Below are 27,965 nucleotides of genomic sequence, written 5' to 3' on the forward strand. Positions count from 1 at the left end.
AACCGAGGCTGGGAGAGGTGGAAGGATTCTGACACCGCTGGGGAGAACCCATGTGGCCAGGCCTCCCGCGTGACCGTCTCTAACCCATACAGGCCTGGCATGGTAGGCAATGGGGTCCCTGTTTGGGGACAGGCAGCACCCGACTGATGGTCCCCACCGGGAAGTGATGAGAGATGTGAACTCAGGTACCTGCCCGGCCCTGCAGCCCCAAGCCCAGCGAGTCGCCGTAAACTGTCACCCGGTACATCCGCGGTCCCCGGCACCCACCACTCCCAGCACACCCTGGTGAGTGGCCCGCCCGGGCTTGGTTCTGAGCCCTGCGGTGTTTGGGTTCGGTCAACTCTAGAAATCACAATGTTTTGGAGAAAAACCTGGGTTTCTCGAAAAACAGGCAGATCTAGAAATAAAAGGCTGCACCATCACTCGGCCCCCCGCCTGGCACACTCGCCTCTGCCTTCGCCCCCCACGGCCCACTCCCCGACGGCGCGTGGCCAGGAGGCGCCTGTGAGCACCTGATCCAGCTGCCACCTAATTCATGATCACCGTTTGACAGGCCGGGAAATGGGGATTTGGGGAAATTTAGGAAGTTACCCAAAGTCAACGGTGAAAAACGCTGTGATCCCATCTCCGAATCCAGAAAAACCTTCAACGAAATTCAACATGAATTTCACGTCCCCCCAAAATACTACCAAGAAAGAAAAAAAGGAGAGAAAGGGAGACTGCTTTTACTTTAAAAAGAAATATAAGACCAGGCGAGGTGGCTCTAGCACTTTGGGAGGCTGAGGCAGGAGGACGGCTTGAGCCCAGAAGTTTGAGACTTGCCTGGGCAACATCGTGAGACCCCCATCTCTACAAAAAAATTTAAATATTAGCCAGGAGTGGTGGTGCACACCTGTATTTCTAGCTACTTGGGAGGCTGAGGCGGGAGGATCACTTGAACCCAGAAGTTTGAGGCTGCAGTGAGCTATGACTGCACCACTGCACTCTAGCCTGGGCAACAGAGCAAGATCCTGTCTTAAAATTAAAATAAAATAAAATAAAATATAAAATGAAAGAAGTATAAAGCAAAAAGTTATGGGAAATGCCTTAATGTCAACCACAAGACCAGGGGTGTGGCTGTGAGAGCCGCCACTGCAGCGGAAGTGCTGGCTGGAGCAATAAGACTAGAAAAAGAGAAAGGAATGAAGACTGAAAAGAAAAAGAGAAAGTTTTAGGCCAGGCTTTACGGTGGCTCACGCCTGTCATCCCAGCACTTTGGGAGGCCGAGGCAGGCGGGTCACTTGAGCCCAGGAGTTAGAGACCAGCCTGGCCAACATGGTGAAACCCCGTCTCTACTGAAAATACAAAAATTAGGCGGGTGTGGTGGCCAGTGCCTGTAATCCCAGCTACTTGGGAGGCGGAGGCAGGAGAATCGCTTAAACCTGGGAGGCGGAGGTTGCAGTGAGCCAAGATCATGCCACTGCACTCCAGCCTGGGCAACAGAGTGAGACTCCCTCTCAAAAAAAAAGAGACAGTGAGTCCAGTTCAAGATGCTGAATCGTGTTAAGTGTTGACAGGTGGGGGTGCTGAGGTCTGCAACTTTGAAAGGCTTCCAAAAAACAAGCTGAGAGGGATGGCGGAATGGAGGGATGGTGGGATGGAGGGATGGAAGGATGGTGGGATGGAGGGAGGGATGGAGGATGGAGGATGGAGGGATGGAGGGAGGGATGCAGGGAGGGAGGGAGGGATAGATGGAGGGATGGAGGGAGGGAGGGATGGAGGGGTGGGAGAGGGATAGAGAGAGGGAGGGAGGGAGGGGAGGGAGGGAGGGATGGAGGAGGGATGGAGGGATAAAGGGAGGGATGGAGAATGGAGGGATGGAGGGAGGGATGGATGGATGGAGGATGGAGGAATAGAGGGAAGGAGGATGGAGGGATGGACAGATGGAGGGATGGAGAGACGGAGGGATGGAGAATGGAGGGATGGAGAATGGAGGGATGGAGAGATGGAAGGAGAATGGAGGATGGAGGAGGGAGGGAGAATGGAGGGATGGAGAGATGGAGGGATGGAGAGATGGCAGGATAGAAAATGGAGGGATGGAGAGATGGAGGGATGGAGGATGGAGAATGGAGGATGAAGGGATGGAGAGATGGAGGGACGGAGGGATGGAGGATGGAGGAATGGAGAATGGAGGGGTGGAGGAATGGAGAATGGAGGGGTGGAGGGATGGAGGGATGGAGGGACGGAGGGATGGAGGGACGGAGGGATGCAGGGACAGAGGCATGGAGGGATGGAGGAATGGAGGATGGAGGGATGGAGAATAGATGGATGGAGGGATAGAGATGGAGTGATGAAGGATGGAGGGATGGAGGATGGAGAGATGGAGGATGGAGGGATGGAGGATGGAGGGATGGAGGAGGGATGGAGGCAAGGAGGATGGAAGGATGGTGGGATGGAGGGAGGGATGGATGGAGGGAGGGATGGAGAGATGGAAGGAGGGATGGAGGGAGGGATGGAGGGATAAAGGGATGGAGGGATGGAGGGGTGGAAGGAGGGATGGAGAGATGGAAGGATGGAGGGAGAGATGGAGAGATGGCGAGATGGAGGGATGGCGAGATGGAGGGATGGCGAGATGGAGGGCGGGAGGGATGGAGGGATGGCGGGATGGCAGGATGGAGGGAGGGACAGAGGGATGGCGGGATGGCAGGACGGAGGGAGGGATGGAGGGAGGGATGGAGAATGGAGGGATGGAGGATGAAGGGATGGCAAGATGGATGGAGGGAGGGATGGAGGGATGGCGGGATGGCAGGATGGAGGGAGGGATGGCGGGATGGCAGGACGGAGGAAGGGATGGAGGGATGGAGGAGTGGAGGGAGGGATGGAGAATGGAGGGATGGAGGATGAAGGGATGGCAAGATGGAGGGAGGGATGGAGGGATGGTGGGATGGAGGGATGGCGTGAACACAGCCAACTGCCAATTGCAAGACCCAGGCGGTAAGTCGTGGGTCTACTGCCCAATTCTTTCAACTTTTCAGCACTTTTGAAAATTCTCTTTAAAAATCCCTTTCCCCCAGGGGAAAGGTGAGTCTTTACCTTGGACACAGGTGTTTTCAAGCTCTGAAGAAACACGGTTTTTGAGGGAACTCTGCTTGAGGAACCTGAGTGGGGACACGGGTCACAGAGGATGCCCCCAAGCTCCAGTGGGCCGGGCCCTGTGCCCAGGCTCCCCACCCAGCACCACACCTTTGAGGGGCATGTTCCTGCCTCAGGGGCCTTGCGCGTGCTGCGCCTGTGTCCCTGCTTGGCCGGCTCCTGTCCTCCCGTTTGGGTCTCAGCCTCTCACCTCCCCAGGGAGACCGTCCTCACAGCCACCTTCCTACCCGCCTTGCATCCCATTCTATTTCCTCACACTGCACATCAGTTGGGACTGATCTTGCTCCTTCCTGTGGGAGCACAGACCTGGCGTCTCGTTCACGGTTGCTCTCCCAGACCTACTCGCTACTCAGTAGGGGCGCAGCAGCACCGGTGAATGGAGCTGGGGCAGGCGGGCTGGGCTGGATCTGGGAGATCCAGAGGGGTCCTCAGCTGTGGAGGGGGAGCACTGGAGAGGACGTGACCTGGGACCTGGGCTCAGGCACACAGTGAGTTGGCTACCAAGATGGGGCATCAGGAAGAAGCACAGGCTTGGGTCAGATGTGCTGAGCAGTCAGGACCTGCAGGGTTGGAGGGGCCCAAGGGGCGCCCTGGATGTGGCTTGACGTGCTGCGCTGGGCACGCATGGTGGACGGAGTGGTGGAGCAGGCAACTGGAGCCTAGAACGTGCCCGGCATGTTGCAGACGCTCAAGAAACTTTCTGCAGCAAACGAAGAGGCAGATGCTGTGGGAGACACTGCCCGGGCTATGGTGGGGTTTGGGGGATCCCAGCTCCTGCCCTCTGGCCCTGTGAGAACACCCTGGCTACAGCCCCCTCGGGGGGACGTGGCAAAGGCCTGAAGCCCCACAATCAAGCCTGGAACAATGGCCCTGAAGTGACTACAGGCTAGTTCTTACCCTGAAGATGCACTCTCTTCTGATTCTGAGACTCCCAGCGTGGTGAATGGTGTCAGGTGATTGTCTGTTGGCTCGTTCATCCGTTCATCCATCCATCCATCCATCCATCCAAACCAAAATCAGCAAGCATCTCTTGGGTTTGGGGGATGACACACCACTGAGGCGGCCGGCTCTCTGTCTAAATGCAACTGTCTTTTCTTTTTTCTTTTGAGACGGAGTCCTGCTCTGTCGCCCAGGCTGGAGTGCAACGGCACCATCCTGACTCACTGCAACCTCCGCCTCCCAGGTTCATACGATTCTCCCGTCTCAGCCTCCCGAGTAGCTGGGATTAAAGGGATCCGCCACTATTCTCAGCTAATTTTTCTATTTTTATAGAGATGGCGTTTCACCATGTTGGCCAGGCTGGTCTCGCTCCTGACCTCAGGTGATCCACTCACTTTGGCCTCCCAAAGTGCTGGGATGACAGGCGTGAGCCACCGCGCCCGGACTGTCTAAATACAATGTCTAATAAGAAAAGGTTTTAAGCACCTGGAAAGCACAGAATCACATAAAAGACACCCATCTATTACTACATAGGTCAAAAAACATCTTTTCTGTTTATCCCTTAAGTCAGGGGTCAGCAAACTTTTGTAAAGGGTCAGAGGAGATCAGGCGGAGGCCAGGATCTCCTCTGGGACAGGCTTTGAGCGTGGCCCTGGGGGTGGAGGGAGTGACCGAAATGGAGGTCTCACCAGGGGAGACTCTGCCCTCCAGGGCACACTGGTTGATGTCTGGGGCCATTTGTGATTGTCATGACTAAGGGTGCTCCTGGCATAAAGTAGGCGGAGGCCAGCGACACTGCTCAGCCCCCTGCAGTGCCCAGGATGGCCCTACCCCAGAGAAAGATCAGGTCCCACAGGTCGGCAGTGCTGAGAGGCAGAGACCCTGTTTTAGAGACTGGGATGGTAGAATCTCGCCCCTGTTCGCCCCCCGCATCTGCACACACAAGAACCCGGAGTCAACACAGTATGGAGGTATGTGGGATGGGAGTGGGGGCGGGCAGGGTGTTCCTGACACTATTCTCCGGGTGTGTACAATGTTTCAGGAAAAGAACACCCGTACCTGTACCACCCTGTCCACTTTTTTTTTTTTTTTTGAGATAGAGTCTCGTTCTGTCGCCCAGGCTGGAGTGCAGTGGCATGATTTTGGCTCACTGCAACCTCTGCCTCCTGGGTTCAAGCGATTCTCCTGCCTCAGTCTCCCAAGTAGCTGGGATTACAGGCGTTCACCACTACCACCTGGCTAATTTTTGTATTTCTAGTAGCGACGGAATTTTGCCATGTTGGCCAGGCTGATCTCGAACTCCTGACCTCAGGTGATCCACCCACCTCGGCCTCCCAAAGTGCTGGGATTACAGGCATGAGCCACCGCGCCTGGCCCACTTTTGTCTTTTGTTTGAAGTTCCCTGTAATAAAAGCTGCAGCTCGTACACACATCCCCCCGCGGGCTGGTGCTCTGCAAGCTGCGTCTCTGACCCTCTCAATGCTCCATGAGGTGACTGGCATTGGACCTATTTTACAGCTATGTAAACTGAGGCTCAGAGGTCTCTGCTAGTCAAAGGCAGCAACATTCGCTCCAGCCTGGACTTGAAGGGCAAACGGCAGCCCCAGGGCAGCCCCTGGGGGAGGGCAAACAGCAGCCCCAGGGCAGCCCCTGGGGGAGGAGCAAACTTAAGGCACATTCTTCAGATAAACTCCAGGGGGTCACTTAGCCAAACGAGCCCTGGGGCCTGCGTTTGGTCCTCTGGCCCCTCAGGCCCACCAGGATCCAAAGCGAACTCCTTCCCCGTCAGCCTGGCGTGTAGGAATATGCTTCCACGAGCCCAGATTGCAGAGCCTGCTGCACGCTGCATGCTGGTCTGACCCCGTCACCACCCCCACCAATAGCACAGAGGGAGACAAAGAGAAGGTGCCTAACATTTCTTAGAAAAGGCATCGTGGGCCAGGCACAGTGGCTCACTCTTATAAACCCAGCACTTTGGGAGGCTGAGGCGGGTGGATCACCTGAGATCAGGAGTTTGAGACCAGTCTGGCCAACATGGTGAGGCCCCGTCTCTACTAAAAATACAAACATTAGCCAGGCATGGGGGTGCGCGCCTGTAATCCCGGCTACTCAGGAGGCTGAGGCAGGAGAATCGCTCAAACCCAGGAGGCAGAGGTTGCAGTGAGCTGAGATCGCACCACTGCATTCCAGCCTGGACAACAGAGCAAGACTCCATCTAAAAAAAAAAAAAAAAAGGCATTGTGGGCCAGGCGCAGTTCTCATACCTGTCATCCCAGCACACTTGGAGGCCGAGGTGGGAGGATTGCTTGAGCCCAGGAATTCCAGACCAGACCGAGCAACATAGCAAGACATAGCAAGACCCCACCTCTTCAAAAAACAAAAAAATTATCTGGCGTGGTGACGTGTGCCTGTAGTCCCGGCTACTCGGGAGGCTGCGGTGGGAAGACTGCTTGAGCCCCAGAGTTGGAGGCTGCAGTGAGCTATGATGGTGACACTCCATTTCAGCCTGGGTGACAGAGCAAGACTGTCCCTATAAAAAAATTAAAAAAATAAAAAATAAAGAGCAGAAGCTCTCTTGGAAGCGGCTCCTCCAGCCCCAGTTGAGCCTTCAGAGGAGGCAGTCCCGGCTGACAGCTTCACCACAGCCTCATGAGAGACCCCGAGCCAGGACCACCCAGCTACGCCGCTCCCAGACTCCTGACTCAGAAACTGTGTGAGGTCACAGATGTTGCCTCAATGAACGTTTGCTGGACAGAGGCCCAGATGGAGAACACCTCCCCTCCTCCCCCTCCCCTCCCCTCCTGTCCTTCCCCTCCCTCCTCTCCTCCCCCTCCCTCCCCACACCAGGCTTGGTCCTGCCCTAGGGCCTCCGCACAGGCTGCGCCTCTGCCTGGAACTCTCTCTCCCACCCAACCTTGTTCAGGTCTAGATCAAATGTCACCTCCTCAGAGAGTCCCCTCCCTGGTCACCCTGCCCCCGCTGGGTTTACTTCTCTCTACTCCTTGGATCCTCCACATTTGTTCCCTCTGAGGCCATGAGCCCGGCCAGGGCAGCGACTTCATCTTTCCCCTCTGCAACAGTGCAGACAGCACGAGCCTGGCACGTGGGTAAGGCTGCCTGCGACAGTGTCCTCCTCCCAGGAGTTCCACGGAGATCTGGGTCCAGGGCACAGTGGGCTTGGCTCAGGAGGGAAACGGGGTTGGATGGGGTCAAGAGCCCAGGGGCGCAGGCTGCTTCCCGTCTCTAACCACTGAGCCACCCTGGAACAGCTGGAGCGCAGGCAGGAGCTGGCCAGAGACGAGCTAGCCCACCTTCGCCGTGTGTGTGGCGGGGCCCGCACCATATGAGAACCCCATGGCTTAGTCACGCAATTGTCCCAACAACCCTGTGACGTAGGCACTATTACTGCTCCCATTATGCAGAGGCGGAAACTGAGGCTCAGAGAGGTCAGATCGCTTGCCTGATCATGCAGCAAAAATGTAGGGGTGGACGCACCTGATTCCAGGATGTCAGGCCCCAGTCTGCGTCACCACAGCAGGGACGGGAGGAGAGTGAGGAGGAGCCAGGCGGGGGAAGGGCAGAGGGGCCTCCCAGGCAGAGGCACAGCCAGTACGGAGGCCCCGGGGCAGGACCGTGTCTGGAGAGCTGGGATCAGCCCGGGCACAGCAGGAACATCCTGTGCAGAGCACAGCCAGCCCCCGCTTCCCCTCCCGGGCAGTCCCACACCTCCCCCACACTGGAGCCCCTGCTTCCCCTCCCGGGCAGTCCCACACCCCCCCCACGCTGGAGCCCCCGCTTCCTCTCCCGGGCAGTCCCACACCTCCCCCATGTTGGAGCCCCCACCACCCCGACCAGTGCTGACTCTGTCTCTGCAGCAGGCCCGGCCCCCAGCACAGGAGAGGCAGAGCAGATGCTTCGGTGCCTGGAGCAGCACCCACAGCCTCCTGGCTGGGAAGTGGCCTCTGTGTCACCCACTGGACCTCAGGATTCCTCAAAATAAAGACGGAACGATAAGAAGAGCCTCCCGCTCACAGCGCTGCAGTGGTAACCACACCAGTCACGCATGAGCATTTCTTTGCCTTATAATTAGAGGCATCAAGATGAGCTCATTGCCGCCCCCTCACCCCACACACATCATCCAGCGCACAATCTCACAGCACTCACACACAGATGGGGACACCTGCTGCCTGCCAGGGTCCCTTCCATCCCGGGGACAGGGCCGAATTCCTTCCCCTTGAAAGTGGGCGGGTCTCAAGCCCTGCTTTGGCCAATCACATGATGCAGAAGTGACATGGGGGGAATTCTTCCATCAGCCTCTGCTCTCTTGGAATCCCTCCAGTACGATGCTGGGGCCAGGCTGGAGGGTGGCAGCAATGCGGAGAGAGGCCTGGGACAGGAGGCCACCAGGGTGTGCTGGCACAAGCCAGATGCCGCAGCAGAACCGACCTGCTGAGCCCAGCCAAGCCCAGCCAATACTGGGAAACTGACAGCAAAAGCACTGCAGCGTGAAGCCTCTCAGTGTGGCAGTGGTTTGTTGCATAATCCACGAATCCCACCACAGACGCACCCAGAGCGGGACCACCACCTGCTGAAGGTCACCCGGCACGTAGGGCCCAGGCAGCAAAGCCCCGGGCGGCTCTCTCCCTCTGAGCACCAGGATCTGGTTCCCTGTGACCCACCAGGAGAACTCAAGCTCTTAGTGCCACATGGCTTCCACCACTGTAGACACGTCACTCAGCAGTCAGGGCCAGACACGTGAATCTTAGAAGGTTCCAAGTTATTTCTGGGTGTGGGATGGGGGAGGGTCTCTTAATTTGCAACTTCCATCCTTTGGTGCCGTCTGAAATACATATTTTGTCATTTTTATTTATAGAAATGAGGCTTTTCTCAAAGCATTAACTCACTCAACTTGTAAAACAGGCAGAGGAAAAGAAAACAAACAGTGTGAACATCTGAAAAAGACGCCCAGACCCCTCTAATGATAAAAGACATGATATGAAACCAGCCTGCCAGCAATGGGTTGGGGACTCAGGGGGTCCTCACACGGCTGGGGGTGATGCCCGTGTCAATAGATTCTCCCCTAGGGGGCAGCCTGGCAGCATTTCTAATGTGTGTGCCCTTGGCAGCAACTTCAATTCTAGAACTTTCTCCTAGACAACTTCGGCACAGGTAAAAAGACAGGAGTCTCGCTGATTATATGGAACTCATAAGGTCCTACAAAGACTGTCTAAAGCAGGGGCTGGTATACCACAGTCCAGGGGCCGAACACAGCCCACTAAAGAAAGTTTTATTGGGCCAGGCACGGTGGCTCATGCCTGTAATCCCAGCACTTTGGGAGGCCGAGGCGGGCGGATCACGAGGTCAGGAGATCGAGACCATCCTGGCTAACACGGTGAAACCCCGTCTCTACTAAAAATACAAAAAATTAGCCGGGTGTGGTGGCGGGCGCCTGTAGTCCCAGCTACTCGGGAGGCTGAGGCAGGAGAATGGCGTGAACCCGGGAGGCGGAGCTTGCAGTGAGCTGAGATCATGCCACTGCACTCCAGCCTGGGTGACAGAGCGAGACTCCGTCTCAAAAAAAAAAAAAAAGTTTTATTGGAACATGGCCACACCCATGTGTTCACGAATTGTCTGGCTCCTTAAGTGCTACAACCGCAGTGTGGAGGAGTTGTGACAGAGACCATCTGGACCACAAACCCTAAAATGTTCATCTTGATTTTTTTGTAGAGACGGGGTCTTGCACTGTCACCCAGGCTGGAACACAGTGGTGCCACCATAGCTCTGCAGCCTCCAACTCCTGGGCTCAAGCGACCGTCCTGCCTCAGCCTCCTGAGTAGCTGGGACTACAGGCGCCACCACACCTGGCTAATTCTTTTTTCAGAAACGGGGGTCTCGCGTTGTTGCCGAGGCTGGTCTCAAACTCCTGGGCTCAACTGATCCTCCTACCCTGGCCTCCCGAAGCACTGGGATTACAGGCGTGAGCCACCGTACTTAGACTAAAAGCTAAAAAATTTACTACTCAGCCCTTTACAGAGTTTCCTAGCCAGGCACAGTGACTGACACCGGTAATCCTAGCACTTTGGGAGGCCGATCCTCCCAAATACAAATACAAAAATTAGCCGGGCGTGGTGGCGGGCGCCTGTAGTCCCAGCTACTCAGGAGGCTGAGGCAGGAGAATGGCATGAACCAGGGAGGCAGAGCTTGCAGTGAGCTGAGATCACGCCACTGCACTCCAGCCTGGGCGACAGAGTGAGACTCTGTCTCAAAAAAATAAAAATAAAGGCTGGGTGCAGTGGCTCACGTGTGTAATCCTAGCACTCTGGGAGGCCAAGGCGGGCAGATCACCTGAGGTCGGGAGTTTGAGACCAGTCTGACCAACATGGAGAAACCCCGTCTCTACTAAAAATACAAAATTAGCCAGACGTGATGGCGGGCGCCTGTAATCCCAGCTACTCAGGAGGCTGAGGCAGGAGAATCACTTGAACCCAGGAGGTGGAGCTTGTGGTGAACCGAGATCGCACCATTGCACTCCAGCCTGGGCAACAGGAGCGAAACTCCGTCTCAAAATAAATAAATAAATAAAATAAAATAAAATAAAATAAAATAAAATAATTACAAACTGGAATGAATGTAATAGCTAAAACTATAAAACTACTTAAGAAAATGGGGTAATAAATCTTTGTGACCTTGGATTAGGCAACAATTTCTTAAATAAACACCAAAAGCATAAGCAAGCAAAGAAAAAAACAGATCAAGGCCAGGTGCAGTGGCTCACACCGGTAATCCCAGCACTTTGGGAGGCCGAGGCAGGTGGATAGCCTAAGGTCGGCAGTTCGAGAGCAGCCTGGCCAACATGGTAAAACCCTGTCCCTACTAAAAACACAAAAATTAGCCGGGCATAGTGGTGCACACCTATAATCCCAGCTACTCTGGAAGCTGAAGAAGAAGATTGGCTTGAACCCGGGAGGCAGACGTTGCAGTGGGCTGAGATCATGCCACTGCACTCCAGCCTGGGTGAAAAGAGTGAGACTCCGACTCAAAACAAAAACAAAAAAAATTAGCCAGGCATGGTGGCACATGCCTGTAGTCCCAGCTACTCAGGAGGCTGAGATAGGAGAATTGCTTGAACCTGGGAGGCGGAGGTTGCAGTGAGCCGAGACTGCGCCACTGCACTCCAGCCTGGGTGGCAGACTGAGACTCAGTCTCAAAAAGAAAAGAATTTAAGAAAGAAGTCCAAGTGTGCAATAAGGAATATGTCCCAACAGGGCAGGAAAGGAAGAAAGGACCCACAGGTGCAGGGAGCGGTGAGGGCCTGTGGGAAGGGGACACAGACGCACATACACGCACACATGCACATACATGCACACATGCACACGCACACACATACATGCACACATGCACACGCACACACATGCACACGCACACACATGCAGATACACACATGCATACACGCACACACACGCACAGGCCCTCAGAGGACACCACAGAACACCTGCGGGACACAGCAAGGAAGGGGTGAGGTGGCTGGAGGGGAGGGTACACCTGGGGGACCCCAGCACGGTGGAGGGACAGCCTGGGGTCCACCCGAGTAGTAGGCCGCCCCTCTTCCTTGCCCCTTCTCCCTTCTCCCTGCCGGGTGCTCCCCGCAGGGCATAGAGTGATCGCTTTCCCCGCAGCAGGTGGGCGGGCAGGAGCCAGGCCGGTAAACAGGAAGCTCTGCGCAGGCGGGCGGAGCATCCAGAACTCCGCAGGCCCTGAGGTGTTGGGTCGTTTCCCAGGGCCCCAATGTCCAGGGAGAAAGAGGCTCCACTCTCAGCACCAAGCTCCCGGGCGGGCCGGGGCAGGAGGCTGTGGGGCGTGGCCAGCCCGCAGGTGGCGGGGCCGACGGGATGGGTCAGGGTGCACAGAGCACACGCCAGCCCCTGGGGGAAGCCCGGCCCGTGCGGGCTGCGGGAGATCCTGATGGGCCCCGAGCTGAGGCTCCCGCAGCCAGGGTCTGCGCGTGGTCCCCACCTCCTTGCGCGCTCCGTCTCCAGCACAGCAGAGGTGGACGCCCCTCGCGGCTGGCTCCCCAGCGTCCCTGTCCTCCAGGGGCGCAGCGTCCCTCCGGGGAGTACAGTGTCCCTGAAGGGAATTCCTTCCAGAGCCTGAGGTTAGGCCGTGGTGGGAAACAGAGCGGGGTGCCGCAGGGGAGCCCGCAGGAGCTCCTGTTCCTCACCTGCGAGGGGGGGACGGCCTCTGGCCCCCTGCTGTGGGCGGGGAGGGATCTAGAAGACCGGAAGGCTATTTCCAGGGCAGCACCCCCAGGACTCTGGGGCACACACGTCCCCAGGCAGCTCCGGTGAGGCCACCCTCGCCCCCTGGTTTCAACTCCTGCTGTGAGCACCTGGCCTTTCCCTGGTCCACTGAGAGCCGCGTGTGTTTTTTGCGGTTTTGCTGGTGATTCTGCTGCTGAAATTGCCCCCCCAGGCATTGTCCTCAGGTGGTTTCGTGTCCCTCAGGGCTAGAGACCCGGATGAGCCCCATGGAGAAACCCGTAGTGAGAGAAGCTTTGCTCAAACAGGACTGAGAGCGGAAAGAGAGAGAGAGAGAGGAGAGTGGGGGGAGAACGAGAGCGAGAGACACACCGAGCTGGTGGGCCGGGGGAGGGGGACCCACACCCACGTCGCCATGGCCCCCCACCCCGTTTTTGAGCCCCCACACAGCCGAATACATGCCCCCGGTCCCCCTTCCAGCCTTGTCCCCAACACAGCCTGCAAATGGGCGGGGGCCTGGGAGAGTGCCCGGGATGGGGCTGGGGGGTGGGGGGGGCTTGGCGCACGCGGCCTATGGTCTGTGAGCTCCCTGTGGATAAATCAACAACACGGGTGTCTTTAAAATTTTCTTAGGATCTCACTCTGTCGCCCAGGCTGGAGTGCAGTGGTGCAATCACGGCTCACTGCAGCCTCAAACTCCTGGGCTCAGTAATCCAGTTATTCTCCCACCTCAGCCTCCCAAAGTGCTGGGATTACAGGTGTGAGCCACCGCACCCAGCCCTAAAATAACACGCCTTGAAATAAAAACGAACATACAACAAGGTCACGTATCGACTGGCTGATGGAAACATCATGCCCAGAGGCTCACAGGAACCCGACCTTGGGTTTCCCCTGGAGCCAGGGCTCAGTGTGCGCCTGAAGTGTCTGCAGCAGCTTCACAAAGGAACTACCACAAACAGGCCTGGCGCAGTGGCTCATGCCTGTAACCCCAGCACTTTGGGAGGCTGAGGTGGCTGGATCACAAGGTCAGGAGTTCGAGACCCACCTGGCCAACATGGTGAAACCCTGTCTCTACTAAAAATACAAAAATTAGCCGGGTGTGGTGGCGGGCGCCTGTAATCCCAGCTACTTGGGAGGCTGAGGCAGCAGAATTGCTTGAAACCGGAAGACAGAGGTTTCGGTGAGCTGAGATCGCGCCACTGCACTCCAGCCTGGACGAGAGGGCAAAACTCCGTCTCAAAAAAATAAAATAATTAAAATAAAATAAAGAACTACCACAAATAATGGAACTGGCTGCTTCAGGCAGAGAGGTACCATGCCAGCAATCAACACGCAAATGGCCTGACATAATCACACACGCACACGCTAACACACACACACTAACTCACATGCACTCTCACACACACAAACTTGCACACACTAACGTACACTCCCCCCCCACACACAGAATGATAAAGACATGGCAAAACGTTAGCAGCTGGTGGATCTCTGTGCGGGCTGTACAGGTCTTCACTGTAGCATTCTTGCCCCTTCTATAGGCTGGAAAGCTTTCCAAATAAACTATTTTTAATAGCCTAATATAATCTGAGCCCCAAGTGTATGGGCCAGAGAAACACCTGGGGTGACAGTCATTATCTCCACAGAGATGGAGAGGGTGAGGTGGGACTCACTTTTTACTCACTGCAAGTCTGATTACTTTTTTTTTTTTTAACTGTGAACATGTTATCATTTGTTCAAGACGAGACATGGCTGTAGCATGAAGGTAAAGGCAGAGGAGTGGAGCAGAATAAAAAGTCCAGAAATAGGCTGGGCGCACTGGCTCACACCTGTAACCCCAGCACATCGAGAAGCCAAGGCAAGAGGATCACTTGAGGCCAGGAGCTCGAGACCAGCCCAGGCAACATGGGAAGACCCTGTCTCCATAAAAGATGAAAAATTAGCTATGCATGGTGGCGCACACCTGCAGTCCCAGCTAGTTGGGAGGCTGGTTTGAACCCAGGAGGTCGAGGCTGCGGTGAGCTACAATCGTGTCACTGAACTCTAGCCTGGGTGATACAGCGAGACCCTGTCTTAAAAAAAAAAAAAAAGAATTGAAATGTGAACAAAAAAGAAGCTAAGTTATAAAAGTCTTAGCAGAATTTAATCATAACCTCAGAACAGGAAGACTTTCCCATTCATGACACCAAACTAGGAAACCAGAAAAGGAAAGAGTGATAAGTTTGACCACATAAACCCCAAAATACCTGCCAGACGTTAACAATCATCGTAGGAGAAGATGGGCAAAGAAGTACCTGCACTTGTGTCACCAATAAATGAGTAGCTGCCATAACAAATAAAGAGCTCCTACGAATCAACAAAATGGTGACAGATAACTGTAGACTGGGAAAGACACAATCATACAGGTCCCAGAAAATGAGGTCAGAGTTCAACCTGACGTGTGTGCTTACAAGAAGGAACTGTGCAAGGAAAATGGGCCGGGGAGGGTGGAGGTCGGGGCCACGGAGCTTGCAGGAGCTGAGGCAGCTCAGAGCCAGCCTCGGTGGTGACCCCGTCTCCCTGGTGGGGACACTCCATTTTCCAGCTCTTGATAGAAACACAGGTGACCGTCGGGAGGAGTGGGAGGGAGCTCCTGTGTGGCGAGTCCCTTCGCCTCTAGTGGTCTCTGCTCCCCTTGTGGAAACGCAGTTCCAAGAAAACAAAGAGGAAATGCTGCGAAGAGCCACAAGGACTTTTTCTCTGAGTCACAAGAAGACGAATATACGCTGCAATGACGCAGTGAGGGAAGAAGTCGCCTTGCACCCATATGGCTGCTGAGGATGGGAGAGATGGACGCGTCCTCCGCTGCCGGAACACGGAGCGCCCGGTCTGGTACAGTGCTGATGCTGCGTTTTGTTTTCTGGATTTTACGACATCTTGGGGGCCTCGCTAATCTGGGGATGACGGCCCCTTCCAGGGTAAGCGGATTCCTAAACGTTGCAAACGGCCCGCCTGCGAGCACACTGTGACGTGCAGAGCAACCAACCGCGAGCCCACGCACCTGATCAAACTCTCACGCGCCACGCCCAGGTTCCCTGCCCTGAATCACCCCAGGGCCAGCTCCCAGAACAGGGACCACCCCAACAGCCAAGAGCCGCAAACAGTCGGGAGTCAAACCAGCCCATCCTAGGCACACCCAGCCCATCTACCCCGCCTGGCCCGTCCCTTCCAACCAAAGCCTCGGGAACTGTAACACAAGAGCTTTTCAATAGCAGTCACCTCCTGCTCTCTTGGCCTCACCAGGCCTGATTTAAACCAATCAGAGTGCATCTGAATACACGTACCACCTTTCTGGGTTACAGAAGCATAGAGCCTTTACTGCACTGGGGGTGACAGCACCTCCGTCAACCTGGGATCTGAGAGATCGGGGAGCAAAACCACCAAAGCCCCCAACACAAGCGAGAAATGAGCCTCTGGGATGGCCGGGAGAGTGGGGATGTTTGTTTTAGCAGCAGACGCCAAGCCAGGCTGGCTCATACGCGCCCACAGGCACAGGCCCCGAGGCAGCTGCTCCCACCCCAGGCTCTTTTCCCTGCCCCAGCAGCCCCGCCCATGTCAGCGCATGCACCGTGGCCAGTCCAAGCACCGCACGGGAAGGGTGCACAGTGGGAGCTGCCCGCTCACGTCCCTGTCCCCACTCCCTGGGCGCCCACCATGGGCAGGGCCGGCTCTGAGCCTTTTGTGTGCATTGACTCATCTAATCCTCAAGGGACATTGCTTTCCAAATGAGGAAACTGAGGCACGGAGCGGCTGGGCAACCGAACCCAATCATCTCAGCTGTCCTCCTGCCAACAGCACAATGGAACAGAGACACCGTCCACTGAGCACAGCCACCACCAGGGTCCCGACGGCCCCACCCAGTCCCACTGCCGGCTCCCACCACGGCCCCCAACGCTCCCTACAGGGGCTCCTGGGGCCTCCCTCGCAGCTCGGCCATGCTGGGCCCCGGCGGCCCCCATGCTGCCCTTCCTGCATCCATCTTGGCTGAGGGCAGCTCTGTCCTTCCAGGGCTCAGGCTAAAATCTTGATTTCAAACTCAATCCCCCCTCAGCCCCACACTCAACCTTCAAAAGGTCCTGCTGGCTCTGCTTCCAAAATCCATCCCAGATGGCGCACTGCTCATGGTCCCCACCTGGCCCAGCCCCAGCTTCGCCCACCTGGGCCAGTGCAGTCCCCTCTGCCCTGGTTCCCCTAGCCCACGTCCCGCCCTCACCCCATCTGTCCTCCCCACAGCAGCCACCAGGGGGTGCCTGTGAGCTCCTGAGTCTCGCCCATCCCTCCTCTGCCCGCAGCCCTCCATGGCTCCCACCTCCCTTGGGGTCAAAGCCCAAGTCCTCCCTGCAGCCCACAAGGCCCTGCACACCCTGCCCCGTCCCCTCCCTGCCCTCCCCTCCTCACTGTTCCTCTAAAACACCAGGCGTGGTCCTGCCCCAGAGCCTTTGCACAGTGCCTCTGCCAGACAGCTCCCTCCACACTTCCACAACCCCCTCACTTCCCCTGGATCTCTGTTCAAGTGTGGCCCCCGAGTCCCCAGCCTTGAGGGCACCTCCGCCGCCACTCTCTCCCCTCCTCTGCTCGGCTCTTCTCCGTGGCACTTGTCCACTGCGTTGCGTGTTTTGCTTTTCTTTGCTGTCTGTATGTCCTGGCCCCACTCCCAGAGTTCCTTAGGGGGCCTGGCCCTCTCGTTCCCCCAGGCTCCCAGCACCCGGCCACAGCACACGCAGGAAAGCACACGTAGACGATGCCCGAACCACACCCCACTCCCGGAAACCTTCAGCAGCAGCCCTGCCTGCAAAGTGGAGGCATGAGGCATTTCAGTGGAGGAGAGCGGCCGGGCAGGGTGCTGGGGTCCTCTCTTCACTCAGCCAGAGGCCGGGTCCCCTCGCACCCCCATGCCAGCTCAGGCACCTGGGGGCCCTCATGCTCGACTCCAGCCCCTCCCAAGCTGGCCTCTCAGGGTGGCGGGGAGGCAGGTGCAGGGGCTCCGAGCTAATCCCCTCAGGCTGTAATCCCCATGAGTACTGGCACCACCACGGGCCCCGTCCAGCTGGCGCCTGCTGGCAAATCCTTGCAGGGTCTTGACCGGCCTGGTCCTGCGTGAAGGGACATGCTGCCGGGGCCAGGCGGCAGGCGGCAGGCGGCAGGGAGGCCTGGGCCCCGCTCCTCGTTCACAGCCCCACCCTGTGTGGACTCTCCAGCCCTCCTGGAGCCTCGGTTTCCCCATCTGTAAACAAAGACCCAGGTCGTGCAGCTTCCCAGGGGCTAGGGCCTCACCCATCCCTGTCCTGCCAGGCACTCAGGACACCCGCAGCTCTTGTTCCAAAAGGGAAAGAAGGGGCCACCATGGGGGCGCATGCCTGTAACCCCAGCACTTTGGGAGGTGGAGGCAGGAGGGCTGCTTGGGACCAAGGGTTCGAGACCCTCGCACCCTGGACAACATAGTGAGACCTCACCTCTACAAAAAAGTTTTAAAAATTTAAAAGAGGCTGGGCGCGGTGGCTCACACCTGTAATCCCAGCACTTTGGGAGGCTGAGGCGGGCGGATCACCAGGTCAGGAGATCAACACCCTCCTGGCTAACACGGTGAAACCCTGTCTCTACTAAAAATACAAAACATTAGCCGGGCGTAGTGGCGGACGCCTGTAGTCCCAGCTACTCAGGAGGCTGAGGCAGGAGAATGGCGTGAACCCGGGAGGTGGAGCTTGCAGTGAGCCGAGAACGCGCCACTGCACTCCAGCCCGGGCGAGACAGCGAGACTCCATCTCAAAAAAAAAAAAAAAAAAAAATTTAAAACAAAGGGAAGTCACTTGCTCAGAGGCACACGGGTCTAAGCGGCCAAGGCAGGCTCAGCCCACACCAGGCCCTGGGACCACCCTGCCCAGGCTCCCGGAGCCTCCACCTGCTTTGGGGGTCCCCACTGCCTGCTCACCCCACATCGGCACACACCTGCCACAGTGCCTGGGCTCCCAGTCCTGCTCTGTCCTCAGTCCTCGCCACCCCAGCCACCAGCTCCAGGGCCCAGGCCAAAATCCTTCCAGGCCCCTCGTCTGCCTCCAGGCACCGGTGGCACTCACCTGGACACCTGCCCCAACCCCACAGAGCACTGCCCACGGACCATCCCCCACCAGGCGCTGTGAATCGGGCTCGCCGCCCCACTCAGATGCCCGTGCCACCCGCTGTCCTCAGGTCCGACCCCACGCGACCCTCTCCCACCACGTTGACTTCACTTCTGCGGCTCAAGTGGGTGCAGCAAGTTCCCACCCCACGGCCTCGGCGCGACTATTCCGCTGCCTACATCGCCTGAGCCACAGCCCACCCTTATTCAGCTCGTGGGGACAGTCACCTCCCTCCGAGTCCTCAGCTGCCGCAGGCCTGGCCACTTGACCTCCCAGGTGCCCTCACCACACTCATCACCGCCCAACGCAGCCCGGCTCTGGGCTGGGCAAACATCTTCCGTAAAGGACCGGGCAGCAAGTGTTTTCGGCTTCGTGGGACACGTAGCCCCAAGCATGGCCACTCAGCTCCCAGCTCTGCCGCTGCAGCGTGGGGGCCACCAAGGCCGGCAACGGAACAAATGGTGTGGCCGTTGCCAATAAAACTTTGTTGACAAGAAGCGGCATGGACAGATTCGGGTGGGGTCTCACGTGGCCACTTGTTCCCATCTGCAGCCTGACGCCCAGCAACCTGAGGGCTCCAAGGGGTCAGCGAGGCAGTCCCGTTAGCACCAGAAGACTGGGCACCCTGAGCCCCACCTGGCCCACACGAGGTGCTCAACAAAGGTCTGGAGCCCAGGAGTGGAACTCACACTTTCACGAGCCGACTCCCATGGCGGACCCCAGCGCCCAGGTGAGCTCGCTTGGCACCTGGGCCCCGGAAGCAGCACACGAAGGGGACTCCCTCTCCTCCAACAGCAACCTGGGACGGAGGGGGCACCCAGCTTTCTCACGGGGCCGGCTGCCTGTCCCGTGCCTTCTAAGGGCTTTACCCCATGATTCTCCATGCAGCCCAGGAGAAAGGCAGCCATCACGCCCACTTTACAGACAGGTACACCGAGGCTGCACATCCCCGGCTGGCATGCAATGGCGCTGGGTGTGAACCCAGGAGGGCCGGCCCCCGAGGCCTCTCCACTGGGACACCCAGGCTGTGGTGGTCACAGTGCCTGACCTGCATCCCGGGAGGCGGCCAGGGCGGGAGAGAATGGGGAACTTTCCGTCCCCAGTGTCCTCAGCCTCCGCCTGGGCCCTGCTGACTTGCAACAAGAGACACCACAATCCCACTGACCCTTTTTTTTTTTTTTTTTTGAGATACGATTCTGCTGTCACCCAGGCATGCAGTGGCACGATCACAGCTCAGTGCAGCCTCAGCCTCCCAGGCTCAGGTGATCCTCCTGCCTCAGCCTCCTGAGTAGCTGGAACTACAGGTACATACCATTACGTCTAGCTACTTCTTTTAATTTTTTTTTAGTAGAGACAGGGGTCTTGCTATGTTGCTCCAGGCTGGTCTCAAACTCCTGAGATCAAGTGATCCTCCTGCTTCAGCCTCCCAAAATGCTGGGATTACAGGTGTGAGCCACCGTGCCCGGCCTCCCTGACCTTTTTACACAGACCACCACAGCTACAGGGAGGCCCTGGTGGCGGTGCTGACTCCCTGCCCGGCCGCCCTGTGACCACACTACACTGTGCTCCAGGCAGGCGGGGCCTCTGCTGGGGCCATGCCCTCTTCCTGCCCAATGCCCACAGGTCTCCCTCGGATGCCACCTTCTTGGCAAGGCCTTCCCAGCCACCCCATTCTACCTTACCCTTCCTCCCTGGCACTGCTGGCCTCATGCACCTGATGTTCACCAGGATCTGCACTGTGCTGAGCTCTTCCGGGCGCAGGGGATGCCGCAGGAGTGGCACAGACGGTCTTGGCCCTCGTGGAGCTCTCGCTCAGGAGGAGATGGTCAGAAAACACGTCAGCAGAGCCATATGTTTCAGGTGGTGACAAACGCTATGGTGGCACAATCAGGGAAGAGGAACCGGGAGGGCAGGGGACGGAGAAGGGGAGACCGCTGTGTGGTGACAGCAGGGCAGGGAGGCCTCACGGAGAGGAGATGCTCCCACAAAACCTGGAAAGCGCTAAGGGAGCAAAGGACACAGATGGGAGGAGGGGCATTCCGGGGTGGGGGTGGGGGGCAGCCGTGCAAAGGCCCCGGGGCAGGACCATGCCCTGCATGCTGGAGGAACAGCAAGGGGCCCATGGGCCTACAGCAGAGTGCAGACGGGAGGGCAGGGAGGGCAGAGTGCGGAGGGGAGGGCAGGGAGGGCAGGGAGGGCCCGGGGCAGGCTGTGCAGGGCCTGATGGGCTTCAAAGAGGACTATGTCTTTGACCCCAAGGGAGGTGGGAGCCATGGAGGGCTGCGAGCAGAGGAGGGTCGGGACTCGGGCCGCTGGTTTTTAATGGGGTCCTCCTGGAATGTGGGACAGGGAGCAGAGGAAGAGCAGGGGCGCCAGGCCTGGCTCAGGGGGCAAAGGAGGACTGAGCTGGACCGAGGAGGACTGAGCTGGACGGAGGAGGATCGAGCTGGACCGAGGAGGACCGAGCTGGACAAAGGAGGACTGAGCTGGACCGGGGAGGACCGAGCTGGACCAAGGAGGACCGAGCTGGACCGAGGAGGACCAAGGAGGACCGAGCCAGACGAAGGAGGACTGAGCCGGACGAAGGAGAACCGAGCCGGACAGAGGAGGACCAAGCTGGACTGGGGAGGACTGAGCCGGATGGAGGAGGACTAAGCTGGACCGGGGAGGACCGAGCTGGACCCGGGAGGACCGAGCCAGATGGAGGAGGACCAAGCCGGATAGAGGACCGAGCCGGATGGAGGAGGACTGGGCCGGACGGAGGAGGACCGAGCTGGACCGGGGAGGACCGAGCCAGACAGAGGAGGACTGAGCCAGACGGAGGAGGACTGAGCTGGACCGGGGAGTACTCAGCCAGACGGAGGAGGACCGAGCTGTACGGAGGAGGACCGAGCTGGACCGAGGAGGACCGAGCTGGACCGGGGAGGACCGAGCTGGACCAGGGAGGACCAAGCTGGACCCGGGAGGACCAAGCTGGACCCGGGAGAGGCAGAGGACAGGGAAGGAGTCAGTGGGTTCTGGGCCAGTTCTGAAGGTGAAGCTGCCATCATTTGCTGCCAGATCAGCCGTGGAAGTGGGGCAGGGGCAGGGATGCAGCTGACCTTTCCAGGGCATCACAGAGACAGATCAGCCGTGGGAGTGGGGCAGGGGCAGGGATGGAGCTGACCGTTCTGGGGCATCACAGAGACAGGACAGCCTGGGAGAGGCTCAGACACGCCCAGGCCACAGCTCAGACCAAACTCCACCACAGGCCATCGGCCCACACAGTGGGCACAGCCGCATCCCAAGCCCCGGCCTTCCCGAGACCGCCCCCACGTGCCCCACGGCCACGGCCCATGGAGACGCCATTCAGGCCACGCCTCGGGAGCCAGGAGCCCAGGCAATTAGAGGAACCAAATTCTAAACACCAACGAGACATTGCTTTGCCTCCCATCGGATCAGCCGAAATCGCCAAGGACGATGACACTGGGAGCTGGCAGTGCCGTGGGAAACGGGCAGCCTCCCTCGGCCCCTGTCGGACAAGGCTCCCGCTGTAGCTGAGCTTTCTGGAAGGTGTCGCCATCGCTTCTAACAGTGAGCGGTGACTCCAGAAACCACGGGCATGGGCCTCAGCAGGGGCCTGGAGGCACCGATGGTGGAGAGGCCGGAAAGGGGTGGCCAACCGGCACGACAATCACCAAGCACGAGCGCCAACTCATCCCAGGCTCAGCCCCTAGCACACACGGTCATCACCCCACTTCACAGACGGGACGCTGAAGCCCGGGGAAGTGACGGCCACACAGCACCTGAAGCGCGGAGCTGGGAGGGGGACATCGGCGGGACCAACTCTGGGGCTCCCCCTTAACCACTGCCTGGCGCTCGCCCTCTCTACAAACCGATACCAACATAGGGTGGGGAGACTCCAGATGACCAGAGATAAAAAGCAAGCAGTTCACAGAGTCATAAACGTGTGGCATTTCTCACCAGGGCCGTCCTGCCCCCAGGGGACACTGAACGGTGTCTGGGTCACTTGTGGCTGTCACAACTGGCAGGTGCTCCTGGCATGGAGTGGGCAGAAGCCAGGGGCGTTGCTCAGCACCCCTAATTTCCTGACTCAAAATACCTCTGCCAAGGCACAGAAGCCCCAGTGAGGCATGAAACCATCTCGGTGAAGAACAAGCAGGCCCCTTTATGTGCTCACGTCTCTGTGGCCCAGCCAGGCACAACCTAAACTCACCAGCGCTAACATCAGGAGGGATGGCGTTGGAGGAGTGAGGCAACTCTGAATTTTAAACATTCAGAAGCAGTATATGGCCAGCTGGGGTCAGATTTCTGTGGATTTCAGGGATGGGCAGAGATGCCAGACCCTGACCTTCCAGCCCTCCCCGGCCCCCCACCCCCACCCCCCCACTCCCCCGCTCTCCCACCCCACCACCATGCTCAGTCTGGAGCTGGCAACTTTATCTGTCCCCGGTGCTCCCAGAGCCCCTGATAAGATGAATGGTCGCGGTGTGGTTTTCTTTTGGTCAGCGAGTCCTGGGCTACTTTGTCTCTGACCAGCTGGGGTCAGAGGGCTGACAGCGGAAGTTGGGGGGCCCAAGAAAGGAACCCGGGCTGGGGCCTGGTGCCCTGCCTGGGTTCCTCCACCATGTCTCTTGCTGGCCAGGCCAGGACACCGGCTGCCCGCAAAGAAAGGGGCGAGGCCACTGGCTCTGGGGAAGGAACCGGGTCACCTACCAAGCGGTTCCAGATGGCCGCCGGGAGGGAAGCCACGAGTGTCTTTCAAGGCGGGGGGTGGGGGGGGGACTTGATGACTTCCACACTCTCTCTCTCTCCAGACATCTCCCCAACTCCCAGGCAGCACGCATCGCCCGCCCGCCCGCTTGCCCGCCTGCCAACCAAGGAAGCTTCGGGAGGCCTGGGGGGAGAAGGAGGACGGATGCCCGTGTGGGTGTCTACAGAGACGCTGCTGCTGGCTGCCTGGGAGGAGCAGAGGATTTTGTGAATCCGGAAACTTCCGATTTGGGAGCTTGTGACCTCGACTGAGAAGGAACTGTTCCCTTCCTCTGGGCTCTGCACACCGTCCCCACAGAAGGGAAGGCCCAGCTGCCGCCACCTACCCGGCTGGAGGTCCAGGAAGCAGCTAAAGGGGGCATGAGACAGCCGTGCCCCCCGCCCAGCCCGCAGCCCCACCAGTGTGTCCTGGGGGAAGGCTCGGGGAGAGGAAAAGGGGGCGACAGGGCACCCTGTGTGCACAGCCGGGGCGGTGGAGGCATCTTGAGATGTAACCCTTTTCCTCCCCTCATTTTAGCAGGGAGGTAAACTGAGGCCCAGGAAGGTGAGGAAAGGTCGCGCACCCGGACTCAGGTCTGGGGACTTACAGAAAGGGAGGTGACATCAGGAGGTGGGCACGCACGGCCTCAGAGACCCCCGCCTCCACCCAAGCAGCCGCCACTCACACGACGGGCAGCCCCTGGGAGCGGGTCAGGCAGAACGGGGATCCCCAGCGGCGCCCACGCCGAGTCGCCCCCGGCCCGGGAGCGGTGGGAGGTAGCCCCTCGCAGGCCTCCCGCTTCCCGGCGCGGCTTCAGCCCCGTCCTCCCCGCGGCTCCAGGGGACTGCCCCGCCCCAGGCTCCTGGAACCGGCGGCGCCCCCGCAGCGACCGTGCAGCCCCCGCCCCGGCCCCGCAGCCCCGCGACTCTCGGCGCTCGGACGAGCCCAGCGGGCCGCAGCCCCGGGAGGCCGGGCCGTTACCTGCCGCCGCCCCGCTCTCTGCCGCCCACGCCGCCTCCGAGGGCACGGCCCCCGCCTCAGCGCTCTCCGCCTCGTCCGGTACCTCCAGCTCCATGGCCGCGCGCGGACGGCGGCGGGGGCGCCCGAGGGGGACCCGAGCTGCGACCGCCGCCGCCGAACAACAAGCGCCGCCGGCCAAGGGAGGGCGCGCCGGGCCGGCGCGGGGCGGACGGGGCGGGGCCTGCGTGCGTGCGACGCCGCGGACGGCGCGCGGCCAATCGGGGCTCGGGGGCGGGGCCTGCTTGCGACCCGCAGCCAGGAGCGCCTCGAGTGCCCCCTCGCGCCCAGGGGTGGGAGTACAGAGCCAGGCTCGCCATTCCATCGTATTAGGTCAGTAAGATTGACAGGCACGATACGTATCAATAACATTGCTGTGCACAACACATACCAATAACATGGATCTACACAACACATGACAATAATATGGATCTATACAGCACGTGCCAATAATATGGATGTACACAGCACATGCCAATAACATGGATCTAAACAGCACATGCCAATAACAGGGACCTGCACAGCGCATGACAATAACATGGATCTGGCCGGGCGCGGTGACTCACGCCTATATTCCCGGCACTTTGGGAGGCCGAAGAGGGCGGATCACCTGAGGTCAGGAGTTCAAGACCATCCTGACCAACATGGTGAAATCCTGTCTCTACTAAAAATACAAAAAATAGCTGGGCGTGGTGGCACATGCCTGTAATCGCGGCTACTCGGGAGGCTGAGGCAGGAGAATCGCTGGAACCCAGGAGGGAGAGGTTGCAGTGAGCTGAGATCGCACCATTGCCCTCCAGCCTGGGCCACAGAGTGAGACTCTGTCCCAAAAAAAACCACACATGGACCTACACAGCACATGCCAATAACATGGAGTTACCCAATGCATGCCAATAACATGGATATACACAATACATGCCAATAACACGGATATGCACAATACATGCCAATAACATGGATATACACAATACATGCCAATAACATGAATCTATACTATATCATTGACATGGATCTACATAAAACATACAAATAGCATTGCTATATGCAATACATGCCAATCACATTGCTATACACAATGAATACCAATAACATTGATCTACACAATACATGTAACTAACATTGATACACACACTACATGTCAATAACATTGATATACACACTACATGCCAATAACATGGATATACACACTACATGCCAATAACATTGATATACACACTACATGCCAATAACATTAATGTACACACTACATGTCAATAACATTGATATACACACTACATGTCAATAACATTGATATGCACAAAATATACCAATAACAGTGATATACACAGTACATGTAAATAATATTGATCTACACAGGGCCGGGCGCGGTGGCTCATGCCTGTAATCCCAAGACTTTGGGAGGCCGAGGCGGGCGGATCACGAGGTCAGGAGATTGAGACCATCCTGGTTAACATGGTGAAACCCCGTCTCTACTAAAAATACAAAAAATTAGCCAGGCGTGGTGGCGGGCGCCTGTAGTCCCAGCTACTTGGGAGGCTAAGGCAGGAGAATAGGGTGAACCTGGGAGGCAGAGCTTGCAGTGAGCTGAGATCGTGTCACTGCACTCCAGCCTGGGCAACAGAGCGAGACTCCATATCAAAAAAAAATATATATATATATAGATCTACACAATACATGTTATTAACATTGATCTACGCAATACATATCAATAACATTTGCAATTAACTACCTGTTTATTATCATATTGCAAATAATATTTATATTCCATCGTTTGTATTACGTAAGTATAGATATGTTATTGTTTTCTTTATATTATTTTATCAATAATAATACAGTTTGCTATTATAAGAAACATATAATTATAGAAATACATAATAAATTATATATATTTATGCAAATGTAAGTAGCAATATTTATATCCTTCTTTTTTTTTTTTGAGATGGAGTCTTGCTGTTGTTGCCCAGGCTGGAGTGCAGGGGGGCGATCTGAGCTCACTGCAACCTCTGCCTCCAGGGTTCAAGTGATTCTCCTGCCTCACCCTCCCAAGTAACTAGGACTACAGGTACGTGCCACCACGCCCGGCTAATTTTTGTATTTTTAGTAGAGATGAGGTTTCGCCATGTTGGCCAGGCTGGTCTTGAACGCCTGACCTCGTGATCTTCCCGCCTCAGCTTCCCAAAGTGCTGGGATTACAGGTGTGAGCCACTGCGCCCGGCCATATTTATGTTCTTTATATAAGCACATAATAAGGCTTATGTTGTTTATGTTAATTTAAGTAATAACGTTTATATTATTTACATAAATGTAAATCATAATGATTATATTACCTATGCACATAAATAATGTTTGGGGTGGGCACAGAGGCTCCCGCCTGTAATTCCAGCACTTTGGGAGGCCAAGGCAGGAGGATTACTTGAGCTCAGGAGTTCTAGACCAGCCTGGGTAACATAGTGAGCCCTCTCATCTCTACAAAAAAAATTTTTTTAATTAGCTAGGTGTAGTGAGACCCCTCATCTTTACAAAAAAAATTGTTTTTTAATTAGCCAGCTACTTAGTAGGCTAAGGTGGGAGGACTGCTTGAGCCCGGGAACTCAAGGCTGCAGTGAGCTATGATCGCACCACTGCACTCTGGCCTGGGCAACAGAGAAAGACCCCGTCTGTCCCCGCAAAAAAAAAAAACAAACAAAAAAAACAAAAAGACAAATTCTGTGTGGTTCCACTCCTAGGAGGTCCCTAGAGTTGTCACATTCACAGAGACAGAAAGTAGGATGGGGGGTGCCAGGGGCTTGGGGGGAGACGAGGAGTGAGTGTTTCACAGGGGCAGACTTCCAGTCTCAGAAGATGAGAACATTCTGGAGATGATGGCGGTGATGTTTGCACAGCCATGGGAATGTGCTTAAGGCCACGGAGCTGTGCTCTTAGACATGGTGAAAATGGGCCGGGCGCGGGGGCTCACACCTGCAATCCCAGCACTTTGGGAGGCCGAGGTGGGCGGATTACCTGAGGTCGGGAGTTCAAGACCAGCCTGACTAACATGGAGAAACCCCGTCTCTACTAAAAATACAAAATTAGCCAGGCGTGGTGGCGCGTGCCTGTAATCCCAGCTACTCGGGAGGCTGAGGCAGGAGAATCACTTGAACCCGAAAGGCAGAGGTTGCAGTGAGCCAACATGGCACCACTGCACTCCAGCCTGGGCGACAGAGCAAGACTCTGTCTCCAAAAAAAAAAAAAAAAAAAAAAGAAGAAGAAGAAGAAGAAAGAAATGGTGAAAATGGGCCGGGTGCGGTGGCTCACGCCTGTCATCCCAGCACTTTGGGAGGCCGAGGCTGGCAGATCACCTAAGGTCAGGAGTTCAAGACCAGCCTGGTCAATGTGGTGAAACCCTGTCTCTACTAAAAATACCAAAAAATTAGCTGGGCATAGTGGCACAGGCCTATAATCCCAGCTACTCGGGAGGCTGAGGCAGGAGAATCACTTGAACCTGAGAGGCAGAGGTTGCAGTGAGCCAACATGGCACCACTGCACTCCAGCCTGGGCAACAGAGCAAGACTCGAAAAAAAAGAAATGGTGAAAATTGTGAATTGTATGTTGTGCGTATTTTACTACCATTTTTTGTTTTTTCTTTTTTGAGATGAGTCTTGCTCTGTTACCCAGGCTGGAGTGCAGTGGCGTGATCTCGGCTTACTGCAGCCTCTGCCTCCCAGGTTCAAGCGATCC

At 57.0% G+C, this 27,965-nt stretch overlaps 1 protein-coding gene across 9 annotated transcripts in view, besides 15 other annotated features; it reads right to left on the reverse strand.

Moving 5' to 3' along the window:
* PIP5K1C (phosphatidylinositol-4-phosphate 5-kinase type 1 gamma) overlaps positions 1–24,384 on the reverse strand; it is a 70,286-nt gene extending 45,902 nt beyond the window's left edge. For all 9 annotated transcript variants that reach the window (XM_047438535.1, XM_017026540.3, NM_001195733.2 and 6 more), the window contains exon 1: positions 24,213–24,384. In XM_047438535.1, the coding sequence (XP_047294491.1) occupies positions 24,213–24,306 (94 nt within the window). In that variant the 5' untranslated portion in view covers positions 24,307–24,384. The remainder of the gene's footprint in view (positions 1–24,212) is intronic.
* Positions 3,751–4,251: an enhancer, noted in NCBI's record as "H3K4me1 hESC enhancer chr19:3679833-3680333 (GRCh37/hg19 assembly coordinates)". NCBI's record gives its function as "activates a minimal SCP1, AML or CMV promoter by ChIP-STARR-seq in primed H9 embryonic stem cells {active_cell/tissue: H9 hESC(primed)}" and the evidence as "EXISTENCE:reporter gene assay evidence [ECO:0000049][PMID:30033119]".
* Positions 5,439–5,988: an enhancer, noted in NCBI's record as "H3K27ac-H3K4me1 hESC enhancer chr19:3681521-3682070 (GRCh37/hg19 assembly coordinates)". NCBI's record gives its function as "activates a minimal SCP1, AML or CMV promoter by ChIP-STARR-seq in naive H9 embryonic stem cells {active_cell/tissue: H9 hESC(naive)}" and the evidence as "EXISTENCE:reporter gene assay evidence [ECO:0000049][PMID:30033119]".
* Positions 5,989–6,536: an enhancer, noted in NCBI's record as "H3K27ac-H3K4me1 hESC enhancer chr19:3682071-3682618 (GRCh37/hg19 assembly coordinates)". NCBI's record gives its function as "activates a minimal SCP1, AML or CMV promoter by ChIP-STARR-seq in naive H9 embryonic stem cells {active_cell/tissue: H9 hESC(naive)}" and the evidence as "EXISTENCE:reporter gene assay evidence [ECO:0000049][PMID:30033119]".
* Positions 6,537–7,086: an enhancer, noted in NCBI's record as "H3K27ac-H3K4me1 hESC enhancer chr19:3682619-3683168 (GRCh37/hg19 assembly coordinates)". NCBI's record gives its function as "activates a minimal SCP1, AML or CMV promoter by ChIP-STARR-seq in naive H9 embryonic stem cells {active_cell/tissue: H9 hESC(naive)}" and the evidence as "EXISTENCE:reporter gene assay evidence [ECO:0000049][PMID:30033119]".
* Positions 7,507–7,801: an enhancer, noted in NCBI's record as "tiled region #323; HepG2 Activating non-DNase unmatched - State 15:Elon". NCBI's record gives its function as "activates a minimal TATA promoter and a strong SV40 promoter by Sharpr-MPRA in HepG2 cells {active_cell/tissue: HepG2}" and the evidence as "EXISTENCE:reporter gene assay evidence [ECO:0000049][PMID:27701403]".
* Positions 11,843–12,042: a silencer, noted in NCBI's record as "silent region_9859". NCBI's record gives its function as "represses an Ori minimal core promoter by ATAC-STARR-seq in GM12878 lymphoblastoid cells {active_cell/tissue: GM12878}" and the evidence as "EXISTENCE:reporter gene assay evidence [ECO:0000049][PMID:35858748]".
* Positions 12,063–12,272: a silencer, noted in NCBI's record as "silent region_9860". NCBI's record gives its function as "represses an Ori minimal core promoter by ATAC-STARR-seq in GM12878 lymphoblastoid cells {active_cell/tissue: GM12878}" and the evidence as "EXISTENCE:reporter gene assay evidence [ECO:0000049][PMID:35858748]".
* Positions 12,293–12,342: a silencer, noted in NCBI's record as "silent region_9861". NCBI's record gives its function as "represses an Ori minimal core promoter by ATAC-STARR-seq in GM12878 lymphoblastoid cells {active_cell/tissue: GM12878}" and the evidence as "EXISTENCE:reporter gene assay evidence [ECO:0000049][PMID:35858748]".
* Positions 13,155–13,224: an enhancer, noted in NCBI's record as "active region_13742". NCBI's record gives its function as "activates an Ori minimal core promoter by ATAC-STARR-seq in GM12878 lymphoblastoid cells {active_cell/tissue: GM12878}" and the evidence as "EXISTENCE:reporter gene assay evidence [ECO:0000049][PMID:35858748]".
* Positions 13,235–13,314: an enhancer, noted in NCBI's record as "active region_13743". NCBI's record gives its function as "activates an Ori minimal core promoter by ATAC-STARR-seq in GM12878 lymphoblastoid cells {active_cell/tissue: GM12878}" and the evidence as "EXISTENCE:reporter gene assay evidence [ECO:0000049][PMID:35858748]".
* Positions 14,927–15,221: an enhancer, noted in NCBI's record as "tiled region #5698; K562 Activating DNase matched - State 14:Gen5'". NCBI's record gives its function as "activates a minimal TATA promoter and a strong SV40 promoter by Sharpr-MPRA in K562 cells {active_cell/tissue: K562}" and the evidence as "EXISTENCE:reporter gene assay evidence [ECO:0000049][PMID:27701403]".
* Positions 23,441–24,224: an enhancer, noted in NCBI's record as "H3K27ac-H3K4me1 hESC enhancer chr19:3699523-3700306 (GRCh37/hg19 assembly coordinates)". NCBI's record gives its function as "activates a minimal SCP1, AML or CMV promoter by ChIP-STARR-seq in primed H9 embryonic stem cells {active_cell/tissue: H9 hESC(primed)}" and the evidence as "EXISTENCE:reporter gene assay evidence [ECO:0000049][PMID:30033119]".
* Positions 23,441–24,632: a biological region, named in NCBI's record as "H3K27ac-H3K4me1 hESC enhancer GRCh37_chr19:3699523-3700306".
* Positions 23,923–24,062: a silencer, noted in NCBI's record as "silent region_9862". NCBI's record gives its function as "represses an Ori minimal core promoter by ATAC-STARR-seq in GM12878 lymphoblastoid cells {active_cell/tissue: GM12878}" and the evidence as "EXISTENCE:reporter gene assay evidence [ECO:0000049][PMID:35858748]".
* Positions 24,143–24,632: a silencer, noted in NCBI's record as "silent region_9863". NCBI's record gives its function as "represses an Ori minimal core promoter by ATAC-STARR-seq in GM12878 lymphoblastoid cells {active_cell/tissue: GM12878}" and the evidence as "EXISTENCE:reporter gene assay evidence [ECO:0000049][PMID:35858748]".

This window comes from Homo sapiens, chromosome 19, assembly GCF_000001405.40.
Source record: "Homo sapiens chromosome 19, GRCh38.p14 Primary Assembly".
NCBI classification, from domain to species: Eukaryota; Metazoa; Chordata; class Mammalia; order Primates; family Hominidae; genus Homo; species Homo sapiens.